Source organism: Homo sapiens, chromosome 3, assembly GCF_000001405.40.
Source record: "Homo sapiens chromosome 3, GRCh38.p14 Primary Assembly".
Lineage (NCBI taxonomy): Eukaryota > Metazoa > Chordata > Mammalia > Primates > Hominidae > Homo > Homo sapiens.
The window spans coordinates 24,322,632-24,343,588 of record NC_000003.12 but is presented as its reverse complement, the minus strand read 5'-3'; the positions used below and the strand labels follow the sequence as shown (position 1 = coordinate 24,343,588).

General features: G+C 39.8%; 1 protein-coding gene across 53 annotated transcripts in view; it reads left to right on the top strand.

Annotated features, from left to right (window-relative positions):
* Positions 1–20,957, top strand: part of THRB (thyroid hormone receptor beta) — a 378,556-nt gene that overhangs the window by 152,120 nt on the left and 205,479 nt on the right. For all 53 annotated transcript variants that reach the window (NM_001374822.1, NM_001374823.1, NM_001374824.1 and 50 more), the window contains one exon: positions 6,218–6,289. The gene's annotated coding sequence lies outside the window, so the exon portion shown is untranslated. The remainder of the gene's footprint in view (positions 1–6,217; positions 6,290–20,957) is intronic.

Here is a 20,957-nt window from a genome sequence, read left to right as displayed (position 1 = left end):
CTAGTTTAGTAAATTGTTATGGTATCTTGGAAACAGGAGTTGCTTTGTCTATTTTATAGAAGGAAGAAAAAGAATAACAGATGGATGTTGCCCATAGTTAAGCCTTTCAGTACTCTTGCGCTTGTTTCGTTTCTGTTCAGGTTCAGCTAGATTATTTGTTTAGTCCATGCCTCATAAATGTTTCCATTTTCTCCTTTTTTATTTCCATTGCCACTGTTATGTTTTTGACCCTCATTAAAGAAATTATGATAGAAGCTTTCTAGATGACTTCCTTGCTTCTGGTGCTTAAACAGTTTTGATGGGGTCAGAGGTCATAGACTCCACTGAAATCCATGCAACAGCTATGCACCATCTCTCAGGAAATTGAATGCTCGAACAAACTTCTACAAATTACTTAAGGAGGGTTGTGAATTCCCTGAGGTCTACACTTAAATTAATAACCCCTAGTCTGGTTTGCCATTCTCTAATTGATCCTTCACATTTCTATCAGGCTAATATTCCTAATGCACAACAGGTATTATATTATCCTTTGCTCAGAGCCATTAAATTTCCCATTGCCTTTAGAACAAAAGTCCAATCTGCTTGGATTAGAACCAAGTCTTTCAAGCTGTAGCACTGTTTCTGCCTTTGCAGCCTCATCACCCATTCTCTACCTCTGTTTCCCTCTCCCAAACACACAACCTTCTAAGCCAAACCAGAATACTTGCTATTCCCTCGGTATTTCCTGCACTTCGCTCCTATAGTTGCTGCAGCCTGGGCATTCTTTCCCTCATTTCCACCTAGTTGGGCCCTTTCTAACCTTCAGGCCCTGTATCTTTTCTGATTCTCTTATTTTTAAGGATGTCACAAAAGCACTGAGCAACACCTTGTATGGTACCTTGCACAGCATGACTGTGTATTCACCTGCTTGCCCACAGATCCTCTCCATGCCCTGCCTCTGTATTACTGAGGGGCTGCCTCCTGAGGTATGTGCCTCCTCTGGGTTCAGCCATTGGAAGGCCTTGGAGGAAGATCGGAGGACTGAAGGAAGGGAGAAGCCAGGGTATTTCTTCTCCACTCTCTCTGCCTCAGACAGTATCTCTGACAACAGTTGTGTCTCCTCTGTGGCTTCAGTTCCTGCTGGAGTGGCCAGTTAAAGCTTTCAGTTTCTGCTGAATGACCCCCACCCCAGGGCTCCAATATCAACACCTCCATTCTCATCTCGATAGCTTAGGGGTTTCCTGCTGGATGCCTCATTCTCCCCTGTTCGACTTCACATCTTTTCCTTCACTTACGTAATCAATCCCCTGCATTATTCTCTTTCTGTTTAAATACTTAAACCAGTTTATGTTTTCCTGGATAACCCTGATTGATACAGCTGGTGTTTGATGGATATTTGCTGAATTTTTTAAACCATTTTCTATGTAGGCATCTCTCTCTTTTTTTTTTTTTTTTTGAGCGCAACAGGGATAAGCCCTCTATCAGTTATCTAGTGCATAATGACATTATTTGGAATTACCAGGGATAGTAACAAATTACCACAAAACATAGTTTGAAATGATTAGCATTCAGTAGCTCATGAGTATGAGAGTTGGCTGGGTGATTCTGCCAGTCTTGGGTGGGCTCACTCATGCATTTGTGGTCAGCTGTATGTCAGCTAGGTGACTCTGCTCATCTTCCTTGGGCTGTCTTATATGGATGGGACTTGGCTGGTCTAGGCTGACCTGGGGTGGCCTTGGTGGAGACAACTGATGTGAGTCAACTCTGCTATGTGTTTCTCATCCATAACAAGCTGTCTAAGGCATATTCTCATGGCAATCACAGGAGAGCAAGAGAAAATACTTAAATGTAGCAAGAACTTTTTCAGACTTCTATATGCAGCATATCTGATAACATTCCATTGACCAAAGCAAGTCACATGGCCAAAAACACAATCAAAAAGCACAGGAGAATAGACTTAACCTCTTCAGTGAGAGGAACTACAAAGTTACATGATAAAAGGGTAGATGCAGGGAGGGGTAAAGTATTGTGCCTATTGTTAACAATACTGTATTTTGTACTTAAAAATTTGTTATAATCTGGGCATGGTGGCTCATGCTTATAATCCCAGCACTCTGGGAGGCTGAGGCAGGCAGATCGCTTGAGCTCAGGAGTTCGAGACCAGCCTGGGCAACATGCATGGCAAAACCCCATCTCTACAAAAATATAAAAATTAGCTGAGTGTGGTGGTACACGCCTGTCATCCCACCTACTCAGGATGCTGAGGCAGGAGAATCGCTTGAGCCAGGAAGTGGAAGTGTCAGTGAGCCAAGATTGTACCACTGCACTCCAGCCTGTGTGACAAAGTGAGACCCTGTCTCAAAAAAAAAAAAAAAAAAGGTAATCTCATGTTAATTGTTTTACCACAGAAAGGAAAGGAAACGAAAGGAAAGGAAAGGAATAAGGAAGGGAGGGAGGGAAGGAGGGAAAAATTAGAAAAAAAAAAATAGATATTGACAAAACTCCCAAAAGCAAAGCCAAAAGAAAAAGAATTTGTTTCTCTAGAAGATATAATGTGATGGCTTGTCAATAAAAAAATGTCCACCAACGTAGCAGAAAACCATGGGCAAATCATTGAAAGGAACGCAGGAAGGAAGGAAAAAAAGAAGGAAGGAAACAGGGAGGAAAATTCACACAATAAGAAATACAAATAATGTTTAAACGTATCAGAAGATTTACAGCTTTACCTACCCAAGATATATGTGAATTCTAACTAGGATTCCATTTATCTGCTATCAAATAGATAAATATAATGTTTAATAACATATTAGCAAAGATATGGAGAAACAGGACTTTCAGACGTAGACATAAATTGAAACAACCTCTATAGAATCTAATTTGGAAATACAATCACAATGTAAAATGTGCATTCCCATTGAATGGCCAATTCTATTGAGATTTGTTCCATATTTTAACTTGTATGTGTGAGAACTGGCACTTACACAGTGTTATGCTTTGTAGTCCTATTTGGATAGCAGAAGAAAAGACTTCACTGGCCTTCAATAAGTGTGATATTATGGGATACTATTTAACTGTCAAAATAAAACTTTAAAAGAATGAATAAGCACTTTACAAAAAAAAAAAGGCCACTAATACAATGCAATCAATCTAGCTCAGGCTTCATATGATTTAGTGAAAAACCAGAGATGAGAGAGAGAGAGAGAGAGAGAAAAGAAGGTGGAAGAGGAGGAGGAAGAGGAGGAGGAGCAAGAGGAGGAGGAAGAGGCGGAGAAGGAGGAGAAGGAGAAGGAGGAGGAATTAATTTTGCTCTAATATTAACCCCTTTAAAATTGAATTCACTTAAATTTAACCCTTTAAATGCTTTGCAACAAAATATGCATTATGTATTTGCTAGTTTGTTCTGTGCAATTTCATTCATACAAAGTTACTGTCAAAAAACAGGCCAGTAAAGAGCCATTTATAAATAACATATTAGTAAACCAAGTTAAAGGGACTTTATTTATCCTTTAACCTTCAATTTGCATTAATTGGGAGCAGTCATGGGAAATAGTGCCAACCTCACCTCAGGTCAGATGGCTTAACAAAATGAACTGTTTCATGCCCAGAAATAACTATATTCCAAATATAAATATGAATCAGTTACAAAACAGATTCCTTTGAAACTACAAAATAACCACACTGTTAATATATTTGTGCTCCAATTAAAAATGTGCAAAGAACACACATTCTGAGCTAAAGCTGTCCCAGGGAGTGATTCTCATTTTTGCTTTGAGTCTTGTGTAAACAAAACTAGGCAGTCTCCTTTGAGCCATGAAGAAATTCACAGCCCCTGTTTCCTAAAGAGAAGAACTGAAAATGGGTATGTTTAAGTTGGAAGGGTTTGGGGCTTGAACTTGTTGCTTTAAATTTCCTTCATCACTGGGAAATCACTTTCAATTTGTCTACTTGAAGAACTCTAATTTGGTTTGTTCTCGGTTGGAGGCACAGCATGAAAAAGATGCCGCATGTTTGTATTATAGCAAAAGTTGGAAACCACCTCAGTGACAGTGTTTCATTTTCTTCTTTGCAGTTTTATCTTTAAAACCTAAATCTGTTCTCAATCATTTAGAACAAGGCCCATGACATCAGACTGCCTGGGTGCGATTCTTGGCTGGCCTCTTCTGCACTGTTTGACTTTGGGCAAAATGCTTAACTCTTCTCCTCTCCTTTCTTCATCTGGAAAACGGGGTCATTTATAATACTTACCTCATACGGTCATTGTGAGGATTACCTTATGTGAAATTAGACAAAATAATTAGAACAACCCAGTCCATAATGTGTGTTTAATAAATGCTGTGTATACAAACTTATTAATTATATGAGAATTTTTAGGTTTTTCACAGAGTCAAGTTCAGATATATTGCTCAAAGCCTAAATCAAAATTACACTCTCAAAAAAAAATATTGAGGTCCAATTTTTGCATCCAAAATATCTATATATATATAGTTTTGTATTTATATATTAATGTCAGGGGTAATGGTGTATATGTATACATAATTGCCATAAAGTCATAACAACTGCTACAAACACAAGCCTTCCTGGCTTTGTTAATGTAGTCTTTGAGAATCCTCTTTGAATAAGCTTCTTAATTGCCTTGGTCTTCAGCCGCACATTATCAGAGTTTCTGACTGTCAGCCAAATGGTGAGGTGAAGTTAAAGGTTTTGGACTTGAAGGTTTATGAAATGGGCGGTGCAGAGAGATATTGAAGAAAATAAATAAATACAACTCCAAAGTCTACCTTAATGTTGTTTTAAAAGGAAAGAAAATTAGTAATAAGCAAGTCAATTTTAATAAATACATTTTTCCTTTTAACATACTGAGTGTCCACTGCATGGAGTCATAGGGTGGAAGAACCACTGCAGAAACAAGACAGGGCAGCTTCTTCAGAAGCCCAGAGTCAAGAGCAGAGAAAATGTGCTTATGCTCACATACATATGCACACCCACACATAACCAACAATCGCTTTAATGATATAACAAGGGCTTTTATGTAGCCATAAACGTTGGATATTGGGTGAAAAGCCAACAACTGAGTATGTATTTACTCAATGTGGCAGTTAAAGGGAATGAGCTGGTATAGATTAGCGTGGTTCAAGCCCACATCCATCATATTGAGTCAAAAGTGTAGAACAAAAGATACACAAACAGAGATTCATATCATATAGGTAAATTAAAAATACACAAACATTGTTCATTGCCTTCGATATGCATTTATGTATGTGAATGTTAAAAAGGAAAAATAGTGGTCTTGAAAGATACAAACCAACTCACATTCTGGGCTTGGTGTGGGGTTGTCAAGGAGATTATACCTATGCTCCAATTTTTCTAATTTAAAAAAAGGCATTCTTCATGTTATTTTAAAATATACCCTTTTTTAAATTAAAAAAAATTAGAGCACAGGTGACAAAATGTTTATATTTGGGGTAGTGGGAACCCAGATGTTTTCCCTGCTAACCTCTGTTTTTCTAAAATTTCTACGTTATTTACAACAACAACAAAAATTGTAGGACTGCAGTTAGTTGAAAAGCGGCTTGTCACTTGCCATGCAGGCAGCCACTCGGCGACATCCTCTGCGGCATGGCAGGTGTCGTGGTCTGTTTGGCTGCCTTTCTCATCTTGTTTGTACCTGGGAGAAGTGTTCACCATATGATTGCATTTAGCACAATCTAGACAGCTCCATGGCTTCATGCTTACATTCATACCCTGATGAGGAACCCATCGCTTCCCCACAGGTTCATATGGCAGTGCCCCACCCGACAGCTCAATTGCAGCTCTTATATGTTGAGACCTATTCCAGGAACCATCCACTGAGATAAAGCAGGATTCCCTTTAACGCACAGTGGCTAAACAGTTTGAGGTTCACATTTGCCTTTTATTCATCTTCCCAGACTGCCAATCCAAAGCTCTTGGGTCTTGTTCCTAAAACTCCACAGAAATGTACATCTCTGAGATTCACAAAAGTTGTCCCATGCCTGTAATGTGTTCTTACAGTCCTTGTGTTAGAGTCCCTTTCCCTGAAACCATCTCCCCTTTAGAATAAGATTTTATCTAAGTCTATTTGCATCTATTCAAAATCAGAGATAGCTCTGAAACCAGACCCTATTTAAACATAGAAATAAGAACAGTTGTAGATTAATCGAATGTTGGGAAACTTTAAAACAACAAATTATATTTATCTTCTGTGTTTCCTTTTTTCCAGATCTGCGATTTCCTTCTGGTTGGCTGTCCTGCGTGGGTGCCAAGTTCCACACATGATTTAATGAATAAGAAGGTCAGATGTCAGCTTGACTATTTGCAGACTTGTGATCTTTGCTATTAATTGTCCCTTTTTAGCATTATTGGAATTATCTCCTAATGTGTAGTGTTGCTGCTGTTGTTATTTAATGTAGTTTTGAACTCTATAGGTATTCCGAAAAAATATAAAGCATTAAATGAACTAAAAACATAACAGAAAAGCAATGATACTGATTCACTCGAGAAAAGAAGAGTAACAGGGCAGTGAGAGAAAAGAGCCCATTTTCACTTGTTATGCCAGAAAATTGTGCTCAGTGAAGATCCAACAATCCTTTCCCATGTGTCTTTTCCTTGAGTGCTAAAAAGGCAGGCGGATCATGAGGTCAGGAGATCGAGACCATCCTGGCTAACATGGTGAAACCCTGTCTCTACTAAAAAATACAAAAAATTAGCCAGGCGTGGTGGTGGGCGCCTGTAGTCCCAGCTACTCAGGAGGCTGAGGCAGGAGAATGGTGTGAACCCAGGAGGCGGAGCTTGCAGTGAGCAGAGATCACGCCACTGCACTCCAGCCTGGGCGACAGAGTGAGACTCCATCTCAAAAAAAAAAAAAAAAAGCATGAGAATTAGATAACCCATTGGTTCCAGCGAGTCAGATAGGGTACAAGCACCTGTGCAGTAAAGATCCACTTGACTAGCAAGTCTTCTGAATTTGCCTTTCAGTCCTGAGGTATGTGGTCATATCAAGCAACCATTCAGATCACTGGGTTATAATTTAGGATCCAGTTTGTTTTCATTATTATAACAACACAGTTTCAGTTTATCTCTGCATATAAGGTTGTGTCAGAACTTTCCTTTCTGTGTTTATTATTTTTAGCAGTTTAAAAACTATGGAAAAATGGCTTTTTGGTAATAAGGTGACATTCAGGCTTGGTCAGGATCTGGCAGAGTCTATAGAAATGCTCACTGGCTGCGGGAGCCAGGCCTTTTGAATGCTGTCTTTGTGCCTCCTCTTGCCCATGGCCTCTGGCCTATTGTCGAGGCGCCTGGGTTGGGGTGGTGCTATCTGATTGTAACCAGTGCTAGTATTACAGCACTCAGTGCCCAGGCCCTCCCTTGGGGCCCCCTGTCTGGCTGCCTCTGTCTCCCAGCCCTCCCTAGAGAGGACCAGCCATAGTTCTCATATCAAAAAACACTATTTGTAATTTATAGAATGTTCAAGAAAAAGAGATCACTAAGAATCTTCAAGACCTATGGTTCTCTAAGTGTTTTTCATCTTTACAAATAGCCCTCTCCTTTTCCCATTGGAAATCTTCCAGTGGCCCCCAATTTGTAAAGCATGGAAAAGGACAGCTGTTCTGTTTAAAGATGAGAAGGCTCCTGCAACCCCAGTCCCCAGCCTCTTCTTCATCCCACCTCAATCAAGGTGACCTCAGAGGTCTTCCATTCCCACCAGGAAACTGGGGGCACCTCCCAATACTTGCACACTCTTTTTACAAGGCATTCTCCTCAATTTACAGATAAGGAAACTAAGAAGAGATTTCTATAAATGCTGAAAACCTGAGGCATTAGACACAAAAGAATGAACACTGTATTAATTCATTTTATGTAGTTCTAGAAAAGGAATAACTAATCTGTGGTGGTAAGAATCAAAATAGTGATTACCTTGGGGAGAAGAGAGGATTGGCTGGCAAGGGGCATGAGGGAATTTTCTAGAGTGATGGAAATGTTTATAGAACCGTGGGCTACCTGGCATCTGTTAAAACTCACCTGTGCATTTTACTTTATATAAATTGTACTTCCATTAAAAATAAAAACAAAGAGGAAAATAAAGAAAACATAAATTCGGCATTTAGTGAATGAAAATACTGTAGCCAAATATTTGAGTTTGATCAATGTCCTTAAAGCTATGTGGGCTGTTTATTGGATCCAGTCTAAAGTCATTACGCAGAGTTTCTGAAGATTGAAAATCATGCTGTTCTAATATTTTTTGTTCAATAATCACCAAATCCAGAAGGAAAAAACTCTCAAGGAATTCCAAGCAATGAAACCTGTAACGTGGCTAAGATGTGAGACCTGGGAGTTCTGGGAGTAGAGATTCAGAGGACAATATTTGATTCCGCTGACCACAGAGGCCAAGAATCATTGCCCTCCCAGTGTGTAGCTCCCAGGAGGTTTAGAGAGGCACCATATTCCAGATGGGGTCCTCTGAGCTTTTAGGGCTCTGAGAAGCCCCTTAAAAGTCTGTGCTGGGAGGAGTGCTGGTGGGGAGAGACCATCTGGGTCACCACCCAACATGCAGCTGGACTTTTATCTGTTTAGGTATTGGGCTTCTCTATCCATTTCCATGTATATAAAGAATTCCGTAAGTGAGAAACACGTGACAAACGTTACACATGTTGTATACCCATTCTGGTGTATATTATTTCCTTAATAAGCCAGGTGACATGGAATTCTACGCTTTTAACTATGCTGGACTTTGCCTCCTAAGATTGTACAGAAAGACATGGTCCAGGTCTGGCACATTCAGGATGGTTCTGCAGGGTCACACTGATCTGAACTCACCCTAAGAGTTATGGATAGTCTTAGCTTCAGCCACTCCCCCAAAAGAAATGTCCCTCCTGAGCCCCTTTCCAGAATTTCGATGCAATCAGGAATACTGTGAAAGAGAGGAAAGATGAAAATAAGCTTGGGGCCCTCTGGAGGCGCTGAGCATGTAATTGGTTGTTGTTGGCTCTCCATCCAAGACCATATTGCTCATTGCCTGGGGAAATGAGATGCCATAGTGAGGCCCCATCCTGCGGGGATCCCAAAGATGCCTTTCTTTAATTTGGGATTTTATGTTGTTCAGTAATCTCTACTTCACTGATATAAACCTCATTTTTGTCATGCATTACTTTAACATGTGCTTTTAAAAATATTCATCAAATTCAAATTCTTCATAATTTTTTTTAATCCTTTGCTCCTACTCATCTGACTGCTTTTTAAATGCCCTATAAAATGCAGACTTCTCATATATCTTAGCAGAGTGGAACTTCTGGTGACTGAGGTTGAAAGGCCTTCAGTGGTACCTGTCAAACAGGCTACTTGTGAATTCAGTCTTTTTGCTTTCAACGGGCAAGAACTATGAAATAATGGGCCCTGTACCTGTGTTATTGCAGTAGGGCATTTTGACCGTCTAAAAAGCACTTTCCTTGCCCTGAAATTCTTTGAAACAACTTCATTTGAATTTTGTTATTGTATATTTTAAAAGTCAGGTAGTAAAGTGGAAGGTAATTATTGCGGCAGAAATACAGCTAAGGACATAGGCCAGGACAGATGGGACCCAGGGGCCAATTCTGCGTTTTAGAGCCTGATGAGCGAAATGGGACTGGGATGAGCAAGGAAAAGGTTTTTGAAAAAGGAAATGATGACGGCGTTAGGAAACGGCAAGAAGAGTCATGTGGAGCTGGAGAAGGAAGGATTTAAAGATGCTCAAATGTTCCAGCCTTTGAGGCTGTATTATTTTTCTTCAGAAAGGACAAAATGTCTACTATTTGAGTGATTTCCCAACAAAGGACCAAAGCCTATTTCACTCACAACACAGATCCACATTAACACAAATTTAGTTCACTATTGAAGCTATGGTAAAACTGAATCATACGTGAAAAAGAACACTTTAAATAAGCAGGACATTTTTTTAACCCACACATACTGTGCTTTGCCTGCACATGCACACAAATTTCCTGATCAAACCAAATTTAATTTAGCAAGAGATTTTTCTCCAACCAGTTTAGTTTAATGTGCATGAGAGCAGACATGAAATTACACAATGTAAGAGTTTGAGCAGAATTTACTTTTTTGCAATTCCATTTGAAAGGACCTATTTCAAGTCATTAAGAGTCAATTTAACCAAATGGAAAATAACAAGATATAAATCATATGTTTCTCCATTCCGGGGACTTTGGGCAACTGATCCTGCTAGCGCCAAAGTTCTTGAAATTTATTTCTTTCTTTTCTCTCTCTTGCTTTTCTTCTTCCTTGGTCAAGTGGCTAATGTAACATGTGTGTAGTCAGATTCCAGTTATTCATGAGAATGGGAGGGTAAAATGTCAATTGTTAAAGCCCAATTTATTGACATTTTTCCACTTTTTTTTAAACAGTATGCATTTTCATCCACCAAACTGCTTGTAAGAGCTGTTCACAAGTTAGAAAATATATCCGGGTTTCAGGTTTTTTTGTTTCTTTGTTTGTTTGTTTGTTTTTGTTTTTGTTTTGAGATGGAATCTCGCTCTGTCACCCAGGCTGGAGTGCAGTGCCATGATCTCCGCTCACTGCAAACTCCGCCTCCCGGTTCACGCCATTCTCCTGCCTCAGCCTCCTGAGTAACTGGGACTATAGGCACCCGCCACCACGCCCGGCTAATTTTTTGTATTTTTAGTAGAGATGGCTAATTTTTTGTATTTTTAGTAGAGATGGGGTTTCACCATGTTAGCCAGGATGGTCTCGATCTCCTGACCTCGTGATCCGCCCGCCTCGGCCTCCCAAAGTGCTGAGATTACAGGCGTGAGCCACTGCGCCCAGCCCGTGTTTGAGTTTTATCTCCTTTTCCTTTCCCCAAATGTTTCCCTATTGGTGCTGTTGAGCTATTAACGATTTAAAAGCAGGTTGAAAGAAAAATAACAAACACCCCAATGTGTATATTATTTTTATTCTCTGTTTGTAGACAAAGAAACTTAGGGTAAAATGGTTAGGAGCAGTGCCTAAAGAATTCACTGTCACAGTGGCAGGGCTGGGCTTTAACTCAGATGGGTCTATCTGCAAGCCCCTGTTCTTTGGAAGAGAAGCAATAGATCAAAGTATACCAACATAATACATTGGCCAAATTGGAGAAATAGCTAAATTTGTGAAGAGATCAAAGTATTATTTTGGGGCTGCCCATAGTGAAAACCATTAAAAACAGTGACTTAAACAGACAAAGGTTTATTTTTTTCTCCAAAGCAGGGGTCGTGGTTCTATCGTCAGCAGGGACTCAGATACCTTCTATGACTCTGCATTGCTATTCTTAGCATATGGCTTTATCCTCAAGATTTCCTCTTGGTTCAAGGTAACTGCTGGGGTGCTAGCCTTCATGTATAAATTCTAGACAACAGCAACAATGGGGGAGGGGTAGAAAAAGGCACCCATTACTAGCTGTGTTTTTCCTCTTTAGGGGGTCTTACCAGAATGCCCATCAAGCAACTTCTATCTACAATCTCATCTACCGACTCGTAGTTGCAAAGGAAGTGGGAAAATGTGGCTGGGTACCTTGCCACCCGGAATGAAAGTGGGATTTCGTTGTGAGGGAACATTGCGGAGACACCTAGCAGACTTGGTCACAATTAGGCAGCTACTGGAGGCCCTTCAAGTACGGAGAGGAATGGTCAAGGTGGGGCTTTCAAGGGACTGATCTTGTAGCCAAGTGTATGATGGATAAAAAGGGGAACGATGAAAGGGGGTTTTGAGTACTGTAGTTTGTGGTTATAAGCTCGGTATTAGTGACATGGTATCAGGGATAGGAGAAAATAGATGCATGTGATCAAATTTGTAGAGTAAATTGACCAAGGAGAATGTGTTTATTCATTAGCTGCCATCCAAAACTGTGAACTATGTTTAAACATACACACACACACACACACACCATACACGGAGGTGTGTGTATGTATATAAACACACTATATATGTGTATGTATATTCATACACACATGCATACATAAAACAAAAACAACAATGTAAAACTTTTCTAGGGCTCCATACCACCAATAGCAATGATTTCACACTTTGGTATCCCTAAGAATCACCTGGAAAAAGAGGCTAAATTACAGGCTTTGAAAGAGAATGTGAGAAGGAGAAATTGTAAAGATGACTAGGAAGTCATCATAAGAAGCCAGTTGTAAAGATGAGTAGGAAGTCATCATAAGAAGCCAAGCTGGAGAAAGTAGGAAAGTCAGGACGGGGAGAAAATAGTTGTTAAGTTTTGTTCTCCCTTTTTCCCTTTCTTATTCCCTCCTTCCCTGCTCTCTCCCCTTCTTTTTTTCTTTCTTTTTGTCTTTAATTTTTTAATTTTAGGAGGAGTAGACTTATGAGTTTGGTAATCATATTTTCATAAACGTATAGGCTCCCAAATAAGAAAGAAATTAACGCTCAAGTCATCATCACTCCCTTTTTTTAAGCCATAAGACAGCAGGTAATGCCATTTTTCAGAAGACAAAATCAAGACTCATCTATGGTGTTGACAGTTGGAGCCAGCTCTTTCGGAACTCCTTATATCCAAAAAAAGATCATAGCTCTTTTGGAACTCTTTATATCCATGGTGCACGATACACTGGCAGGTGCACACATCCCTTGTGTGTGTAATCTACACAAAAATGACAAAGTTTGTCAGTACAACTTTCTTGGTACTATGTGTTTGACACCCTTAGCTTCAAGGCAAAACCTACTTTTTATTTTAGCTTTTACAGTCAGCAACAGTTAAATAAGTATAACTTGGTTTTCTTATTTTAACCCCCTCTGATTGCATTTTGTAAAGCTCATGTGAGCTCTATTTTTTCCCACCAAATGCTGGAGAGGGGCAGGTTTGGTTGGCACTGGCTGCTGGCTACTCCAGGTGTCTTCCCATGCAGCTTGCTGGGGCAAGTGTTGTGATTTCTGTTCTGACATCCTGGACAAAGTCTCTCATTAATAAGTAGATGCCTACACACTTACGTAGTAAAAGTATAAAAGCATGCATGGGAAAAACACACACCAACTGTAAAACAGTGGTTAGCTTGGTGAGAGATGAGAGAGAGAGATGGGTTGGTAGTGTTTTGCTGTTTTATTTCTTTTAGGGTGATGGATCAAATACCCGCAGATCTGAATGGTGGGTACATGGGTGTCTGTAATATTGTTTTATATACCTTGAATGTCTGAACTGCCTTATAACTTAAACTTTTTAAAAAATTAAGTAAATGACTTCCTTACAGGCAAAGTGATTTGAACCCTTGAAATGAAATCTTTTTTTTTTTATTTGAGACGGAGTCTCGCTCTGTCGCCCAGGCCGGACTGCGGACTGCAGTGGCGCAATCTCGGCTCACTGCAAGCTCCGCTTCCCGGGTTCACGCCATTCTCCTGCCTCAGCCTCCCGAGTAGCTGGGACTACAGGCGCCCGCCACCGCGCCCGGCTAATTTTTTTTGTATTTTTAGTAGAGACGGGGTTTCACCTTGTTAGCCAGGATGGTCTCGATCTCCTGACCTCATGATCCACCCGCCTCGGCCTCCCAAAGTGCTGGGATTACAGGCGTGAGCCACCGCGCCTGGCCGAAATGAAATCTTTACTTTTAGTTTTGAGCAGTCTAAGACGGTGTTTCTCAAAGTAAAGCATGCATTAGAATCATCTAGATGGTTTGTTAAAACAGTGTCTTAGGTTCCATTGCCAGAGTCTCTGATTCAGTAGGTCTGGAGTGGGGCCTGAGAATCTGCACTTTAACAAGTTCCCCAGTGATGCATGTTGCTTATTCAGAGACTACACTTTGAGAATCACTGGTCTGAAGGAATTTTTCATCAAGACAACTAGAGTTTTGTTGATTGCTCACTTTTTCTTTCATTAAACAAATGTCTGTTATATAAATGTGTCTATTCTAGCACTTGAACTGGGCCAATTATTGTGCATGGATGTATAAAGATGATCTGTCTGTGGTGGAAAGGATACATGACTGTTCAATACAGTTGTGCAGTTTGGTCACTGTGTAAATGGTGCCCACTGGAGTACTACAGCTTAGCCAGATGTGGCAGTCAAAAGAATTACCAAAGAAACAAAGCAATGTGTGCACAACAGTGTAATACATGTTATGATATAAATATGCATGATGTTCTTTGAGAGATCAATAGAACAATGAAACCCAAAAATGAATTGGGGGCATGGAGTCAGGCAAGGCTTCCTGGAAGATAGGATACCTCAGATGAGTCTACACAGGTGAAGAGAAGTTGTCTGGCCAACAGTAAATGTATAGGAGGACAGGCAGGGGAAGTAGAATATGCAAAGACATGAAATGTAATTTGTAAGAAGATGGTAATAGATGGAGTTTAAGAATTCAGGCTGGACCAGGTGCAGTGGCTTATGCCTGTAGTCTCAGAACTTTGGGAGGCCAAGGTGGGAGGATCTTTTGGGGCCAGGAGTTTGAGACCACCCTAGGCAACATAGCAAGACCCCATCTCTACAAAATCAAAAAATTAGAGGGGCATGGTGGTGCATGCCTGTAGTCCCAGCTACATGGGAGGCTGAGGTGGAAGGATACCTTGAGCCCAAGAGTTGGAGGCTGCAGTGAGCCATGATCATGGCACTGCACTCCAGCCTGGGTGACAGAGGGAGACCCTGTCTCAAAAAGAAAAAAAAAAGAAGAAACATTCATGCTGGCAGGACAGGAAAGTTGACCATCAAGAGTCAGATCATGAAAGTCTAAGGCGTTTGGATATTAATCTGATAGCAGTAGGGAACCATTTTAAAATTGTAAACAAAGTAATTGTTTGATCCAGTTTTATATTTTAGAAAGAGTTCTATAGGGCAAGGAAGACAGGTAGGTTGGAGGTAAGATTGGCCACAGTGGACCAGGCCAAGTAAGCAGCTATTCATTAGCCTAAGTATAAAATGGTGAGGGCTGCGCTAGGGCAGTTCCAGTGTGAATAGAGAAGATGGATGTATTCAAGAAACATTACAGTAGAATTGACGAAACATGGGGATTGATAGAATGTGGGAAGCAAGAGAGAAGCCATCAAGGATGAGTCCTGGGTTTGTGTCTTAAGCAGTGGGTGTAAGTAGGTGACATTCACTGAACTAGGGAAGACAAGGGGAAGAGATCTAAGGGCCGGAATAGGGACTGGAGAAGGTGAGTTTGGGTTTGGACATTTGGAGTTTGAGGTATTTATGGAACATTTATGTGGAGGCGTCAAATGCTCATGGATATTTCCTGGGCTGCAGACTTCAGTTTGGATAATATCTAGATATTAATCACTTGTATTTATATATTATTATAAATATTGCTGCAGTAAATATACTTATATATACATTTTGTCTTAACTTCTGATTATTTCCGTAAGAAGTGTTTCTAAAATAAAGGCTATTGATAAATATAGGAAAATTATTTTACAAGACGTTGTGTCATTTTATGCTTCCATTAGCATTGTAGAAGAATGTCTGCCTCCCTATGGCCTCGCCAACATTATTTAATCTTAACAAACTAGAAACCCCAATAGTGAGGCTGCTTTAATGTGTACTTTACTGATTATTTGTAAGGTTGGACATTTTTCACTTTTTGTTGAACTTCATTAAAGGATTATTTGTTGATGTCATGCACCCATTTCCTATAGGGTATTGATTTTTTTTAATGATTTTTAAGAACTCTTTTTTTCTTTATTAAGGATATTATCTCTTTGTCCATCTCATGCATTGCCAATGTGTTGTTCTACTTTCTTGTTTACCTTTGTTCTAGCAGTAGAATACTCTCAGATGTCCCACCAATATGCCTGTTGGGCTCACTCCCTCGCCTATTGCAAAGTCTTAATTTGAATTTTATCCTCTCATTGAGGTCCATTCTATTTGCTACTTCAAATCCCCAACAAGGACAGCTCTTGACAGTTCTGATCCCATAGCATCTTTCACCTTTTCACATAAAATATAGTTTATTTATTTTGTTGTTAGTTTCCATCCACTAAAATGTAAGCTCCTTGAGAATAAGGACACAGGAACCTTTGTCTGTTTTATTTACAGATATATCCCAAGTACCTAGAATTGTGCCTGGCACATAGTAGGTGCTTAGTATCTATTGGTTAAGTGAATATTAATTGCTTTTATATGGTCATTTATTGTCCTAGGGTTTCAACTTTTAATCCATATAAATGTATCCTTTAGGATCTGATTGGAATATCTGATTTATTCCATTGTCTACTGATGAATGATTTAAACACTTACCATTAGGATTTCCCAATACTCTTACAGCAACTCTTTGATTGAATTAGAAACAAAATTCAAATTTCTTAATTCCTAAATACATCAATTAGAAGTGAGAGAATGAGGGTGGCGGTGGGGGGGGTCCCTGAGCATTTACTTGGATGAACAAAATAGTTCATCAAAAAATGTTCATCTCTCTCACAAAATCGTCTAATTACCGATTTTATTCTAAACACAAGTTTTTGTAATTGTTCATTCCTATGTTATGCTGACTTATTTTATGAACACTCTCAATGGCAACCATATAAGAAGTCCACACTAAAGAATGGACAGCTTTGACAGGGAGCAGTGGCTCACGCCTGTAATCCCATCACTTTGGGAAGCTGAGGCGGGCGGATCATGAGGTCAGGAGTTTGAGACTAGCCTGGCCAATATGGTGAAACCCTGACTCTACTACAAATACAAAAATTAGCTGGGCATGGTGGCACGCACCTGTAGTCCCAGCTACACAGGAGGCTGAGGCAGAAGAATCACTTGAACCCAGGAGGTAGAGGTTGAAGTGGCCCAAGATTGCGCCACTGCACTCTAGCCTGGGTGACAGAGCAAAACTCCATCTCAAAAAAAAAAAAAAAAAAAAAAAAAAGACAAGACTGGACAGCTTCTAGTGAAGAAACCATACCAAGGCCAAACAATTTCTGGTTTGGGAGTTTGCTTAATAACAGAGGGAACAACTATTTACTAGCTCCCTTTGGGAAAACACGTTGTCAAATAAATATTTACTAAGCTTTTCTCTATGCAAAACACCATGCTATGCCAGTGGGAGGTATAAAAAGTACAGCCAATTCCCTTAAGAAAGTTGTAACTGGCCGGGAACGGTGACTCATGCCTGTAATCCCAGCACTTTGGGAGGCCGAGGCAGGTGGATCACCTGAGGTCAGGAGTTCAAGACCAGCCTGGCCAACATAGTGAAACCCCATCTCTACTACAAATATGAAAATTAGCCAGGCATGGTGGTGGGCACCTGTAATCCCAGCTACTTGGGAGGCTGAGGCAAGAGAATTGCTTGAACCTGGGAGGCGGAGGTTGCAGTGAGCCGAGACTGTGCCATTGCACTTCAGCCTGGGCAACAGAATGGGACTTCATCTCGAAAAATAAAATAAAAAGAAAGTTGTAACTAACCGTGGTGGTGGAGGTGGGGAGAAATCAGGATACATATTCACAAAAAGGTGAACAATCATTCTAGTTATTTATTATTTATATTTTGGCAACTACAGATGAATGGGGCAGATATCACATATTCAAGATATTAAGAAGAGCAAAAGATGATGGTGGATTGCAGTGATCTATGAATCCTTGACTGAGGGCATTAGAATTTGTATCAAGCCTAGAAGAATAAGTGGAATTTGACTTTAATTAAAGAGGAGAAAGGGAGAGGGAGGGAAGGAGGGCTATCAGTCCTAAAACCTATTTTCAACACTTAGCAGGTTTTGTTCTCTTGTTGTTGTTTTCATTATTGAAGGCAATTTGGTATCATTTCTGGACTGTTGCTATATTATGATTTATTACATGTTGGAAAATTTTTTCTACCTCAAACATTTGGCACACTAACATACCTTTGAAATTGAAGTTAATCAATGAAGAAAAACAGGCAGGGATTGTTATATTTAGACTGATCATCAAAGACAACAGCAAGTGTTCTCCTTGCTTTTTTTAGACAGAGTCTCTCACTCTGTCGCCCAGGCTGGAGTGCAGTGGCATAATCTCAATTCACTGCAACCTCTGCCTCCTGGGTTCAAGTGATTCTCCTGCCTCAGTCTCCTGAGTAGCTGAGATTACAGGCAGGCACCACCACACCCAGCTAATTTTTGTATTTTTAATAGGGATGGGGTTTTGCCCTGTTGGCCAGGCTGATCTCGAACTCCTGACCTTAGGTGATCCATCCGCCTCAGCCTCCCAAAGTGCTGGGACTACAGGCATAAACCACTGCACCCGGCCTCTCCTTGCTCTTTTAAAACCATTTGCAATTAATTGAGAGTGAACCAATTACTTTCTTTCAGTGCTGTTTTTCTTCCTTTGAGAGGAAGCATTTAATATGACAGGCATCATGCCAGCCATTAGTTATCAATGTTAACAGGGTCTGAGGCAGCAATGATGAACTACCTACCAATCTAGGGACCACCATGTAGTAATAAGCTTAACCTTTCTCCCCCAGCAAATCTTTCATGAGAATGATTAATAAATAATAATTTCATCTGATAGACTATGTGTTTGACTTCTTTCTCTTCTGCTGCTTCTTCTTATTGTCTGTAAAATTATAAAAGACAGACAGCCAAAAGCAAGAAGCAAGAATTTAATACACAGTCTGAAGAGATAGACCCTGACTACATAAGAGCCTGCTGAAATTATCGATTTTATTCATTTTATTTTGATGTTCCCATTTAATCCAAAATCCTATCATACATATTTTATAATTCTCATGTAATCTTAAATAGTATAATACATATTTTTCAGCAAGTAGATACAGCATTGAATCTGCTCATTGTAAGAGCATTTACCTACTTGATTTTCTGGAAATCAGGAATAAGAAACAAAGATTTGAGCATATCCCATTTAGCAACCAACAGATTACATGGACCTTTAGTGTTCTCATTTAAGCTTGGCCTTGGTTCATTTACATCTTGGATCTGTGGACTACAATTATAGCCATGTTACTAAATGATTTATGTTTTTATTTAATATGTTGTTAATGAAAAGTAACTGATTTCTCCATTAAAATTCAAAGAGAGTAGAAGTTGAAGGTAAAAAGTTGATATGTATGCAGTTTTCTGTATGTATATTATATTTCACAATAAAAAAGAGGTTAGAGCAAAAAAAGTAACTGGATGTAACAGGATGGGCAAATGACATCTAGTAACAACTAGCAACACAATTTCTCAAGGAAAGGAGCTGTTTATTTGGAAAAAAATGCCTTGGTCAGTGTGCTTGGAAGTAAAAAGATAAATTTCCAAAGGATCTGGGTGACAGTGGAACTGTTCTGCTGTAGACAAGGGGAGGTTTTGGCCATTACTCTAAAGAAGAGAAGGAGAAAGATAGAATGAATGGATGGATGGAAATGAATGAATGAGCAAACTGGACAAAGCACCACAGAGAAGACAGGAGGCTATAAAGTTAACAAAGTGACTTCTTTCTATGACCTCTCAGGTCCTCAATAAAGAAACTGAGATGTGCGGTGTGTGATCCTAGTAGATCTGCTGTAGAAATGACCTACCTGTGACTCAGTTGAAACTGAGATGAAGCGTGGGGTGAGACTGAGGCAGGTCAAGTGCCCACAGGGGTGGTATCCAAGGTGGCTGGGGAGATTGTAGAAAACTTTCATATTGGGTGTTCAGACCAAGGTGGAAGCTGGAAGAGGAGGTCTTTTATTAACAGATGTAGCACATTATGGTGGTTTATAACAGTACTGCTTATGGTTTAATCCTTGACTACACATAATCATTTCAAACATTTGAAATTCAAAGAGAAACCTAACATTTCAAACATTTGAAAGAACTATTAGATAGTAAGTTTGGTCCACTGATTGCTTTATTTCAAGATACTGAAATGATTTGGGGATTGACTCCCATACTTAATTTCTAAATCCTCCTATTTAGATAAATTTCTACAACTGGTATTATGACTTCTGGAGTATTCTAGTGGAGGTCCTGGGGAGAATCTTCATCTGCTTATGCCAACTATTGGTGTTTCTGATCTCACAGGATTATAGAACAATGAACATGGAAAGTTTCTTAGAGATGATCCTTTGCTGCTCAAAGCATGGTTTGTGGCTAGAAGCATTGGCCCCACCAGGGAGCTGGTTAGGAATGCAGAATCTCAGGACTCACTCCAGATCTAATGAATCAGAATCTGTACTTTAACAAGATCCCAGGTGATTTTTATGCACAGTAAAATTGGAGAAGGCTGAGTCAACAAGTCAACATGCAAGTGGAGCTCTTGCACTCCACATAGCTAGATGTATTGTATGATGGTTGTTCCTCCCTAAGAATGCTATTTGAAAACAAACAGAGCCATTAACAGCTCCTGTCTTGCTTGGCTTGGGGAGCAGTTGCCATTTTAAAGGGCAGAAATGCTGCTCCCAGAAAGTAAAGAGACAACAGGATCCAAAAAAAAAAAAACCAAAAACCGTGCGTAGGAATGGTGGTTGCCTGGGGCCTGACTTAGTTAGAACAAGTCATCTCATTGAAGAAAACATGATGGTAACATTATCTGTGGGCCACTTAAAGCTCAACGGAATGACATCACTTTATGGAAACCCTAAACACCAATAGGCCTTCTGCTATAGATTTTTGAGGAACAGAATGGGAGTGAATGGGAAACAAGTGGGCATGAATGTAATGCTCATAAGAAAAATGCTCTTATGGCCAAATTCACTCATGAGCTCTGTATCTGTACCGATCTGGGACTGATACATTTATTAGCACCCAAATCGTGTTTGTGTTACAAAAGGTGGCAGGATATTAGGTAGGAGAGATGGAGCTAATCTTTTCTGTGAAAGATTAGATGATTAGATGCAGGACCATGCAATAAAATGAACATGGGACTATTCTCATATATTGATCAGCCATAGAAAATACAAGCTTCTGTAACAAGAAATGACTTCCAGTAGAAGGATCTAGATGAACCATTGCCTTGATAATAACAATGGAAAAGAAAACAATTCACAGTAATATTCCTTTGCACCTGAGCAACTATACATTGAAGGAATCAGCTT